This window comes from Homo sapiens, chromosome 9 (assembly GCF_000001405.40).
Source record: "Homo sapiens chromosome 9, GRCh38.p14 Primary Assembly".
NCBI classification, from domain to species: domain Eukaryota; kingdom Metazoa; phylum Chordata; class Mammalia; order Primates; family Hominidae; genus Homo; species Homo sapiens.
Window position 1 is genome coordinate 15,566,576 of NC_000009.12, and position 12,628 is coordinate 15,579,203.

General features: G+C 39.0%; 1 protein-coding gene across 34 annotated transcripts in view; it reads left to right on the forward strand.

Annotated features, from left to right (window-relative positions):
• CCDC171 (coiled-coil domain containing 171) overlaps positions 1 to 12,628 on the forward strand; it is a 556,042-nt gene that overhangs the window by 13,691 nt on the left and 529,723 nt on the right. For 32 of the 34 annotated variants that reach the window (XR_007061261.1, XR_001746227.3, XR_001746228.3 and 29 more), the window contains 2 exons: positions 5,049 to 5,184; positions 12,274 to 12,448. Coding sequence is in view for 26 of the 34 variants with exons in the window: in XM_047422930.1 (XP_047278886.1) it covers positions 5,049 to 5,184; positions 12,274 to 12,448 (311 nt within the window). In the remaining 8 variants the exon portion in view is untranslated. Of the gene's footprint in view, positions 1 to 5,048; positions 5,185 to 7,279; positions 7,301 to 12,273; positions 12,449 to 12,628 lie in introns of those variants that run through there. The other 2 variants (XM_011517796.4, XM_017014440.2) reach the window with 2 other exon arrangements.

The window sequence follows — 12,628 nt, forward strand, 5'->3', positions numbered from 1 at the left end:
AAAATAAGATATATGATATGCAAACATTTTTCTCCTGTTTAGTGGCTTGACTTTTTGTTTTCTTAATAGTGTCTTTGGAAATGCACAAGTTTTTAACTTTGATGAAGTCCAGTTTATCAGTTCTTTTCCTATAGGAGTTGTGCTTTTGGTTTTGTATATAAGAAATCTCTGACTAACCTAAGGTCATGAAGATTTTTCTTCTATGTTTTCTTCTAGAAGTTTTATAATTTTAGCTCTTATATTTAGTGCTCTATTTTAAGTTACTTTTTGTACGAGGTAAGGGTCTAAATTTGTCTCTTTGCATGTGCGTAGCCAGTTGTTCCAGCAGCGTTGTTGATAAGAGTAACATTTCCCCGTTGAATTGCCTTGATACTTCTGTTGAAAATTACTTAACTATTTAAGTATAGGTTTATTTCTAGAGTCTTAACTCTGATATATTGATCTACATGTCCTTTTTTTTTTTTTTTTTGAGGCAGAGTCTCACTGTGTTGTCAAGGCTGGAGTGCAGTGGCGTGATCTCACTGCAACCTCTGTCCCCCGGGTTCAGGTGATTCTCCTGCCTCAACCTCCCGAGTAGCTGGGATTACAGGCACCTGCTACTGTGCCCAGCTAATTTTTGTATTTTTAGTAGAGACGGGGTTTCACAATCTTGGGCAGGCTGGTCTTGAACTCCTGACCTTGTGATCCACCGGCCTCAGCCTCCCACAGTGCTGGGATTACAGGCGTACATGTCTGTTCTTAATCCAATATCACATTGTCTTGATTACTGTAGCTTTATAGTAAGTTTTGAAATTAGGAATCAAAAGTTTTCCCATTTGTTCTTCAAGATTGTTTTGGCTATTTTGAATTCTTTGTCTTTCCATATGAATTTTAGGATCAGCTTTTCAGTTTCTGCAAAAATGTCTGTTGGGGTTTTAATAGGGATTATATTGAATATGTAGAATAATTTGGGGAGAATTGCCATTTTAATAATATTGAGTTTTCCTTACATGAATGTGAGTATGGTGGAATGTCTTTCCACTTGTTTAGCTTTTCAACTCCTTTGAACAACATTTTGTATTTTTCAGTGTAAAAATCTTTCACTATTTTTTTTTTTTGAGACAAGGTCTTGCTCTGTTGCCCAGGCTAGAGTACAGTGGCATGATCTTAGCTCACTGTGGCCTCAACTCCTGAGCTCAAGTGACCCTCCTGCCTCAGCCTCCTTAGTAGCTAGGACTACAGGCATGTACCACCATGGCTGGCCAATTTTTTTTATTTTTGTAGAGACAAGATCTTGCTATGTTTCTCAGGCTGGTCTTGAACTCCTGGCCTCAAGTGATCCTCCTGCCTTGGCTTCCCAAAGTGCTGGCATCAGGCATGAGCCACCATCCCTGGCCTTGCATTTCTTTTGTTAAATTTATTTTATTCTTTTTGATGCTGTTATAAATGGAATTGTTTTCTTAATTTTGTTTTTGGATTGTTCATTACTAGGATATAGAAGTATAATTGATTTTTGTTTATTGATCTTGTATTCTGTGACCTTGCTGAAATTGATTTTAGTTCTAGTCTGTTTTTTCTTAGTGGATTTCTAGAATTTTCTTTCAGAATCATGTCCTTTGTAATTAAAGACAGTTTTACTTCTTCTTTTCCAGTATGCATGCCTTTTATTTCTTTTACATTGCATGATTGCACCATCTACATCTCCAATACATCTTTTTTTTTTTTTTTTTTTTTGAGGCGGAGTCTTGCTCTGTTGCCCAGGCTGGAGTGCAGTGGCGCGATCTTGGCTCGCTGCAAGCTCCGCCTCCCGGGCTTAGGCCATTCTCCTGCCTCAGCCTCCGGAGTAGCTGGGACTACAGGTGCCCGCCACCACGCCTGGAGAATTTTTTGTATTTTTAGTAGAGATGGGGTTTCACCGTGTTAGCCAGGATGGTCTCGATCTCCTGACCTCGTGATCCACCCGCCTTGGCCTCCCAAAGTGCTGGGATTACAGGCGTGAGCCACCGCACCCAGCCTTATTTTTTGACTTTTTGATAATGGCCATTCTGACTGGTGTGAGATGGTATCTCATTGTGGTTTTGATTTGCGTTTCTCTAATGATCACTGATACTGAGCTTTGTTTCATATGCTTGTTGGCTGCATGTATGTCTTCTCTTGAAAATTGTCTTTTTATGTCCTTTGCCCACTTTTTAATGTTTTTTTTTCTTGTAAATTTGTTTAAGTTGCTTATAGATGCTGGATATTAGACCTTTGTCAGATGTATAATTTGCAAATTTTTTTTCCCATTCTCTAGGCTGTTTAAACTGTTGATAGTTTCTTTTGCCACGAAGAAGCTCTTAAGTTTAATTAGATCCCATTGGTCAATTTTTGCTTTTGTTGTGATTGCTTTAGGCATCTTCGTCATGACATCTTTGCCCATTCCTGTGTCCAGGATGGTATTGCCTAGGTTGTCTTTCAGGGATTTTTATAGTCAAACATATTTGTTAGTCTTTTGTATAAAACCTATTTATTTCTCTCTAGACTTTGGAGGAACTACTTTTTTGTTCCTTGTTTTCTGAAATTTCCATGCATTTAACCTGGGCTCTTTTAATAGGCCTTTTCGGTTTGAAACTTATATCCTTCGGAATCCGCCTATTTCCATGGATTTGTTTCTGTAATAGTTTCCTCCCATTCAGAGAGACATTGTAGTGCAGTGGTTAAGAGGATATATCATGGAGCCAGGGTTTCAGGGTTTGAATTTCAGCTCTGCCTCTCCCTCACTAGCCCTGTGAACTTGGGTAATAGGGGGTCATAAAAGTACCAATCTCATGAGATTATTGTGAAGAATAAATAAGTTTATATATGTAAAATGCTTAGAACAATGCTTACAAAATAACAAGACTATTTAATGTTATAAATTTATTGTTTTTCATTCTGCACCTTTTTTTAGATTTTGAACTTCTTGGACAGTCTTCTAATTTAAAAAATTTTCTATTTTTCGGCCGGGCGCGGTGGCTCGCGCCTGTAATCCCAGCACTTTGGGAGGCCGAGGCGGGCGGATCACGAGGTCAGGAGATCGAGACCATCCTGGCTAACACGGTGAAACCCCGTCTCTACTAAAAATGCAAAAAATTAGCCGGGCGTGGTGGCGGGCGCCTGTAGTCCCAGCTGCTCGGGAGGCTGAGGCAGGAGAATGGCGTGAACCCGGGAGGCGGAGCTTGCAGTGAGCCGAGATCGTGCCACTGCACTCCAGCCTGGGCGACAGAGCGAGACTCCGTCTCAAAAAAAAACAAAAAACAAAAAACAAACAAACAAAAAAAAAATTTCTATTTTTCATCTCCATCTCTTTTTTTGCTTTATTTTCTGGGAGATTTTTCTTTTATTTTTATTTGTTTAGTTTTTCGTTTTCTTAGTTTGTGTTTTTGATTACTTTTCTTTTTCTTTTCTTTTTTTTGAGATGGAGTTTTGCTCTTGTTGCCCAGGGTGGAGTTCAAAGGTGTGATCTCTGCTCACTGCAACCTCTGCTTCCTGGGTTCAAGGATTCTCCTGCCTTTGCCTCCCAAGTAGCTGGGATTACAAGCATGAGCCACCACATCCAGCTAATTTTTTATATTTTTAGTAGAGGCAGGATTTCACTATGTTGGCCAGGCTGGTCTTGAACTCCTGGCCTCAAGTGATCTGCCCGCCACAGCCTCCCAAAGTGCTTGGAGGCCAGGCGTGAGCCACTGCACCTGGCTGTTTTTGATTTTTTAAGAGCTGTTTTTTTTTTCTCTGAATATTTCATTTCCTATTGCAGTCATGGATGTGACATATGGATGATATACTCCTATTTTTTTTAGTAGACAATGTTAGTTTTTTTTTTCCCCTCTTCTAAGTTGTCATCTTTCTGCATAGTCTTTCAAGGCATGCTTCTTTTCTATGCACCATATTTTTGGTCTCTGCTTATCATATTAGATGCTTATTAAACTTTTGGTGATTGTTGGCTGTCTGCTTATATTGAAAAGTAGGGGCTTAACCTAAAAAGATGACTGGAAGCTCAGTGTGTGAGACTTTGTGTTTGTGGCATGCTCTGTAGGGTTATATGGTTAAGCTGTTTTTCTAGAGAACCACTGGCATCAGTATCTTTAGGTATTTTTCACCTGGTTGCTTAGGTTCTGTAGGGAAGACACTTCCAATTTCTGCTTGACTGCCATCGTTCTGGCAAGAACATTCTGGCAAGACAAGTAGTGTTAAAACTCTAGAGCGCTCTTTCCTTATATAACTTTTAACTCAAGCTTCTTGTATATAGTATGAAAAACTTAGGTCATTTGTATCTAATGTCTTCTGATCCAGAGACCGTCTGTTTTATCCTCTCCAGGGAATAAACCCCTAGTGTTTTTCTGCCAGACTGGGAAAGAGATAGGTACCCAGTTGTGTGGTATAGGGGATGGGGATCTGAGGATGTAATTATTTTGTTGGCAGACTTTCAAATAATTCTCCTGTTTTCTGCTCTACTTTTACCTCCATTTTCAAAGGTGTTGCCAATTACTGAGCTTTTGGGGGTTATCAGTTACCACTTGTCCACATGCATTTCAGCTTCCAGTAATTGGTTGCTATTATCTCATCTTTTGTGTTCTCTCTCTTGTGAGTTTATACCTCTAAATTCTGTTTGCTGTTATTTTAATTTTTAATTTTTATTTTTGGGAGAGAGTAGGGTGCTTTAGTCTGACATTTTTCTTTTTGTATTATGTATTACATTTGCAGTAAACAAAATGTATTATTTACAAAGAAAAAAAGTGGGAGAACCCAGTCTCTTCCAAAATTATCCAGCTTGTGATATGATCAGACAATTTAAGTAGCAATCTTGAATAATGTGGTAATTTCCCATTAGACAGTGGTTTGTTGCTAGGTATCTATCTATATATATATACTACTTTGTATTTCTACATAGCTTTTGCAGTGGACATCTTTTACTAGATTGTGAACTCTAAGTCAAGAACCATGTCATGTTCTCTTTGTTTTTTGAAAAATAAGTTATCAAAAATATCAGAAATGCTCTGAAATGTGCTTTATGAGAAGCATATACATTTTACTGTAATCTCATTTTAAAGGTTGAAGATTGCCTCATTGGATGTAAAACAAATACTTAAAAATGAAACAGAGTTGGATATTACTGATAATCTCAGGAAGAAACTCCATTGGGCTAAAAAAGAAAAGTTAGAAATAACAACCAAACACAATGCAGAGGTACGATTTATTTTCCTCTCAAATAATGTTAAAAGTTGAGTTTGATTTTTTAGATTTATTTCATATGAAAAACTCCATGTTTAACCTTTATAACTATACCATTCTTGGGCTTAAAAAGGAAATTGTAATAAAGGAAACATAATTTTAAAATGTAGTGTAATTGCATAAGTGTTAAAGTAGAACTTTAATGAATTATGTTTATTTGTATGTTATCTTAGATTTATTTTAATTAATGGGTTCAATTGATTAAAATTATTTATGAACATGTTTGATGATTAAAGGATTTGTAAATCAGACATTTTTGAAATCATAATGTAGGTTCCTTTAAGGTCTCCATTATGGAGCAATCTCTTTAAGTAAATTTGAGTATGGAATTTTTAATCATAGTTCAGTTCATAAATTGTCTTAGTTTATAAGTCATTATTTCTTTTATTAGTATGTATGTGTGTGTATATATATTTCATATGTATATGCATATAGTCCAAGATAGTTTTCCTTCCCTTCTAAGATAATTCATGAGTCATATCTTTATGCCTCTTCTCTCTGCTGTGTTTTTTCTCCTTTTTTCTCTGATAAGTCTTATTTATTCTTAAAACTCAGTTTAGGCCACCTGGTATAGTGGGAAGAATATCAAATTACACAGAGCTCAATTTATTCCTGGCCTTTCCATTTACAAGATGCGTCATCTTGGGCTACTCATTTATCCTGTACACCATTGGTTTCTCATTGTGAACTGCTGGTCCCAAAGGGTTGTTGTGATAATTAAGTGAAATAAAATTTGGAAAGTGCTTGTGTACTGTAATAGCTGTAATTTATTGACAGTTAAGTGTAAACAGTATGTTTTTCTTCCCTTTTTGCTAAGTTCTGCAGTTCTCATGTTGGGAAACCTTTTAATGTCTCTCTAAGTGAAACTGGCTACTACTTTGTTCTTCCACAACATGTTGCTGTTATAGATATTTTAGAACTAAAACATTTATATCATGCTTTCCTGCTCTTCTTTAGTTTGTAAACCCCCTGAGAGCTGAAAACAGTGATCACACTTTGTCTCCATATTGCTTATGTTTACTGGCACATAATAGGCCGTCAGTAGTTGTGTATTGAATAAATGTATGAAAAGGGCCAGGTGTGGTGGCTCATGCCTATAATCCAAGCACTTTGAGAGGCCAAGGTGGGTGGATCACTTGAAGTCAGGAGTTCGAGATCAGCCTGGCCAACATGGTGAAACCCCATTTCTACTAAAAATACAAAAATCAGCTGGGCGTAGTGGCACACACCTGTAATCTCAGCTACTTGGGAGGCTGAGGCAGGAGAATCGCTTGAGCCCTGGAGCTGGAAGGTTGCAGTGAGCTGAGATCGTGCCACTGCACTCCAGCCTGGGCAACAGAGGAGAGTATGAAAAGATGATTTTTTTCAGGATATCTAAGGAGCAGTGGTATTGCTGATTGAAATAACAAGAGATGAATACATAATAATTCTCTTTGTATTTTTTTAGTAGCATTTGAGGTAATATTATTATCATAATTTTTCTTTTTTTGAGACGAAGTCTCGCTCTGTCACCCAGGCTGGAGTGCAGTGGAGCGATCTCGGCTCACTGCAACCACTGCCTCCAGGTTCAAGTGATTGGAGAATCACTTGCCTCAGCCTCCCCAGTAGCTGGGACTACAGGCACGTGCCACCATGCCCGGCTAATTTTTGTATTTTTAGTAGAGATGGGGTTTTACCATGTTGGCTAGGCTGGTCTTGAACTCCTCACCTCAGGTGATCTGCCCACCTTGGCCTCCCAAAGTGCTGGGATTACAGGCGTGAGCCACTGTGCCCCGCCCAATTGAGGTAATTTTTAAGTGATAATTGAAGTAATTGCTTCTATTTACATTGTAATAATCATATAAAGTGGTATGTGTTAAATGTGTGCTAATTATTCATAAACTCTAAAACTTGTTTTTTTAAAACCAAATGCACATTTTACTTGAGAGTATTAGTGTGATGATAATCATTACTCTATTAAATAAATTCTCTCACAGCCAGGTGTGGTGGCTCATGCCTGTAATCCCAGCACTTTGGGAGGCCAAGGCAGGAGGATTGCTTGTGCCCGGGAGTTCGAGACCAGCCTGGGCCTGTGAGTGAGACCCTGTATCTACAAAAAATAAAATAAAAATAAATATATTCTTTCATAATATGTTTATAGTTGTCATTAGATTTCTCAGCAGAACACACTGTTCTCTTTTATTTGATCAAAATGTTTTGAAGTATATGTTCACATTAAGGAGATAGAAATTATCTTAGGGAAGGAATACAGTTTTCTTAAAACAGGAAATTATAATTGGTTCAACTCCAGATTTATATTACTAATTATTATTTTTTCAATTATTTCTTTTCTTTCTCTTTTTCTTTTTTTTTTTGAGACAGAGTCTCACTCAGTCTGTTGTCCAGGCTGGAGTACAGTGGTGCTATCTTGGCTCACTGCAACCTCTGCCTCCCAGGTTCAAGCGTTCCTCCTGCTTCAGCCTCCTGCGTAGCTGGGATTACAGGTGCCTGCCACTGTGCCTGGCTAATTTTTGTATTTTTAGTAGAGACGGGATTTCACCATCTTGGCCAGGCTGGTCTCGAACTCCTGACTTTGTGATCCACCCGCCTTGGCCTCCCAAAGTACTGGGATTATAGGTGTGAGCCACCGCGCCTGGCCAAATTTTTGTATTTTTAGTGGAGACGGAGTTTTACCATGTTGGCCAGGCTGGTCGCGAACTCCTGACCTCAAGTGATCCACCTGTCTCGACCTCCCAAAGTGCTGGGATTACAGGTGTAAGCCATTGAGCCACTGTGCCTGGCCTTCAATTATTTCTTTAGATGATCATACTTGTATTATGTAGTTAAATTTTTTAGCCATATAATCTCCAACTGTACGCATCAGGAAGCAAGGCAGAGAGGAATGCAGTGATTTAAAAACTAAGGCCATATTTGCCTTATCAGGTATTCCTAATGCGAACACAAATGCACGGTGATTGGCACAAAATATCTTTAAAGACTTCTGTAGGAGTTTTATTGTTGGAGGATCTTGGGCAAGTTAATTTATTTTTCTGAGCTACAGGTTTCTTTGATAGGTATTCAAATAATAGATTACTGTTGAAAGGATTTATTAGTAGACAGAGGGTACAGGGAGAAGAATTGCTTATAGACTCATACGTTCCAGATGAGACTGAATTGCATTGATGTAGGTGATTGGGATGGGAAAATACTGTAAGGTTTTTAGAATCATTTGAGCGTAACAATACTGTTGTGGAAAATAGGACAAGAAGACCGTGAGGCTATTCAGATATCTCATTGGCCCAGATAGTGATAACAGAGCAAGAAAATCCAGATAAATTAGAAAGAGAGAGGGTAAAGGAGAGTGACATAACTACTTTTTTTTTTTTTTTTTTTTTTTTTTGAAACAGGGTCTCGCTCTGTCACCCAGGTTGGAGTGCAATGGTGTGATCTTGGCTCACTGCAGCCTGGTCTCGAACTCCTGGACTCAAGTGATCTCCTACATCAGCCTCCTGAGGAGCTGGGACTACAGGCACGCACGTGCCACCATGCTTGGCTAATTTTTTGTATTTTTATAGAGGTGTGGTTTTGCCATGTTGTCCAGGCTGGTCTTGAACTTCTGGGCTCAAGTGATCCACCCACCTTGGCCTCCCAAAGTGCTGGGACAACAGGTGTGAGCCACCGTACTCGGCTGACATAACTTCTTTTAGCCAAAAAATACTGGAAACTTAGGACTAATCAGTAGGCTTTATGGCTTGAAGATATTGTCTGACCCAGCCAGTACTCTTGAGAGCAGGGATTCTTAAGCTGGAGTCCTCAGAGAAATCAGGGAATCTGTGAACATAGATGGGGAAAACTTATAATTTTATTTTTATTAACCTCTAACTGATATTAAGCATTTCCTTCAGTTCTGAAAGGCTTGACCCAGCCAGTCCTCCTTTTAACAAGTCATAGTAGTGTTAGCAGCACTTTTGAGTATCATCAATAGAAATCACAGATACATATCACATTTTAGAAATTATAGTTACAGGATGGGTGCCATGGCTCACGCCTGTAATCCCAGCACTTTAGGAGGCTGAGGTGGGCAAATCACTTGAGGTCGGGAGTTTGAGACCAGCCTGGCCAACATGGCGAAACCCTGTCTCTACTAAAAATGCAAAAATTAGCTGGGCGTGGTGGTGCGCACCTATAATCCCAGCTACTTGGGTGGCTGAGGTGGGAGACTCACTTGAACCTGGGAGGCAGAGGTTGCAGTGAGCCGAGATCATGCCACTGTACTCCAGCTTCGGCAACAGAGCGAGACTCTGTCTCAAAAAAAAAAAAATTATAGCTACATATATATCATATTTCAGTTGTGTGTGTGTGTGTGTGTGTGTGTGTATATACATGTATATATATTTGTTGTTTTAAATCTTTTTTTAGAGACAGGGTCTTGCTCTGTTGTCCAGGCTTGCATGCAGTGATGTGATCATTGCTCCCTACAGCCTGGAACTCCTGGGCTCAAGTGATTTTATGCTGTAGCTTCCCAAGTAGCCAGGACTGTAGGTGTGTGCCATCACACCTGGCTAATTTATTATTATTATTATTTGTAGACATGGGGTCTTGCTGTGTTGCTCAGGTTGGTCTCAAACTCCTAGCCTCAAGCAACCCTCCCTCATCAGCCTCTCAAAGTGCTGGGATTGCAGGAGTGAGCCACCGCACCTGGCCAGCATTTTAATTTTAAGTAATGTACTTTGTGCCCTTGAAGAGGATGTAGTCAAGGAAAAGGGAGGCTTGGTTTGCACAAAACCACTCCCGTGTTCTTAAGTGTTTGTATTATGCCAGGAAAGTGCTAGTATTTTGACCTTATGAAATGATTGTAGGCTAATGTCGAATTCAATTTTCAGTCAGCCATCCAAGCAAAACTGTTAAGAGTTAACTTAGAGACGATATCCACGTCGATCTTGTACACGTTCTCCAAGTTCCTGTGAATACCAGATTAGCAAGAGCTTTCAGTTCTTCTGCTATATAAGCTATTTCCTCCTGGAGCAGACTGCATTTTTCCTTCTGTAGCATACTGAGATCTGAGTCAATCTGTGGTGAACAGAGCGGTGTAGGTGGCTCTTGCAAATCCTCCTGCAAGGCAGCTGCTTCAGGTGTGGTCATTACTAATTCTTTCAGCAAGGAAAGGCTGGTTACCTCAGTCAGAAAGGAGAGGCTGCTTTTTTTTGGTAAGGAATGTTCAGTGGGGATTTGAGAGTTCATAGTTTTTAGGTTTGTTTAATTCTGAAAGTCCTCATCCTATGTTCTTCCTACTTAATATCCAGCTGATAGCATCTTAACAGAAGAAACCTGGTGAAACTCTTCATTGAACTTGTAATTTTGCATTTCCCATAATTAGATTTCCAGGTTTGTTCATAACCTTATCTGCCCTGGGGCTGTACTAAATAAGCAGTTATTTTAAAGTCACCATAAAAACTCGTTTTTCTGACTGTCTTGAACTGAGATTCTAAAGCTCTGAGATTATCATTTTGTGTTTGTAAATTCTCTAGTATAGTGAGATTTACCCTTTCTATCCCTCAGGCCTTGTAGTAAATCAATACTGGCATCATAGTTAAGTGCGTTCATTACTTCATTTTCCGAAGGCTTATTTTCAACTGGCACTTCATCCTAAACAACTGCACACCATAATTTAAAGAACTGTGATCCCACTGTATGCTGTAGATCACTAGAATCCCATTTCTACCTGCAAAGAGGCTTTCACTGTGTTCAGGCTTAAATATATTAGCCAGCCAATATTATAAACCCATCTTGAGACAATTTCTGATACCAAGAGCAATATTACTGGGTGTTTAGTTAGGAAAACAGAAACCATTCTAAGTCTTAAAACAAAGGGACATTAATAGCGGGTATTGGTTACACAGGTACCAGAAAAGTGGAAAAGACAACTAGAGGAGATTAAGACAACCCAACATTAAGAACTGCTTCTATTCCCAAGGTTGATTAGAGCTAGAACTGGACAAAGCAAGGCCCATGGAAGGAGGGACTATCCATAAGGATTTGCAGCCACAGGCAAGAGAGGGATAACTGCTCAAGGTAGATCTAGAAAGGCAGAAATAACTTGGCATCTTCACTTCTCCTGCTGTCAATCATTCCACATGTGCCTCTCATTGATCAAGCCTATTGAGAAGCCAGTTGTCTCTGACCTTCTGTCATGCTACTTTGGAAGGATCACAAATTCGATATTCGTTCATTTAAATCCCTGCAAAATTGGCACTTTTATTACTTTATGATCAGTGATATCATAATCAAGAGAAATAATACAGACAATATTTATTAAACTATACTTTGATGCAATTTGTTTATTGGTTCCATTTAGGGAATAGAAGGAGGAGAGGAAAGAATGAATTTTTAAGTGCTTAGTATGTATCATGCATTTTTTTGTTTGTTTGTTTTTTAGGTATGAATATTTTCTTTTCTTTATTTTTTTTTTTTTAGACGGTCTTGCTCTGTCCTTCAGGATGGAGTGCAGTGGCATGGTCTCTGCTCACTGCAACCTCTGCCTCCCAGGCTCAAGCAATCCTTCCATCTCAGCCTCCTGAGTAGCTGAGACTACAGGTGCACACCACCATGCCTGGTTAATTTTTGTATTATTATTATTATTATTATTATTATTATTATTATTATTATTATTGAGACAGGGTCTGCCCATGTGGCCCGGGCTGGTCTTGAACTCCTGGGCTTAAGTGATCCTCCTGCCTTGGCCTCTCAAAGTGCTGGGATTACAGGAGTGAGCCACCGTGCCTGGCCAAGGTGTGACTATTTCTGATTAAAACGTAATTTATCTTTAATTTTATAAAAAGTTCTTATAAGATTTTTTTTTTCCTCTAGTGGATTCTCTAAAATAAAAAACATAATGGGTGTCATTTTGTAAGGTAGTGCTTTCTTTCCAGTGATTCAGAATATATAAATTTATAAATTTTTGCCTTGTATATATTATGGAAACAAGTTTCTCTAAGAAACTTAAATGTTTGAGTGTATGATCTCATAATCTTTGGACACATGTTGATATCAGGAATCTGTTTTTAGCTGGCAAGCTATGAGAGCCAGATTGCCAAGCTACGGTCCGAGGTTGAAAAGGGAGAAGCATTGCGACAAAGTCTGGAATATGACCTAGCTGTTGCTAGAAAGGAAGCTGGTCTTGGAAGACGGGCTGCTGAAGAAAGATTAGCCGAGGCACATAGGATCCAAGAAAAACTCTGTGGTAAGACTGTTTCTATTTCTTCCCAAGTTTAGGGTTGTAACCTGATTGTATATCACTCCTCGCTGTTGTGTGTACATCCCATACAGGGTCAGAGGTAAGATTCTGATTCGTTGACTGACTTTTGATGTACAGACTTAGCTGGGTATGTATAAAAAGTCTTCTGGCAATTTTGTGAACATT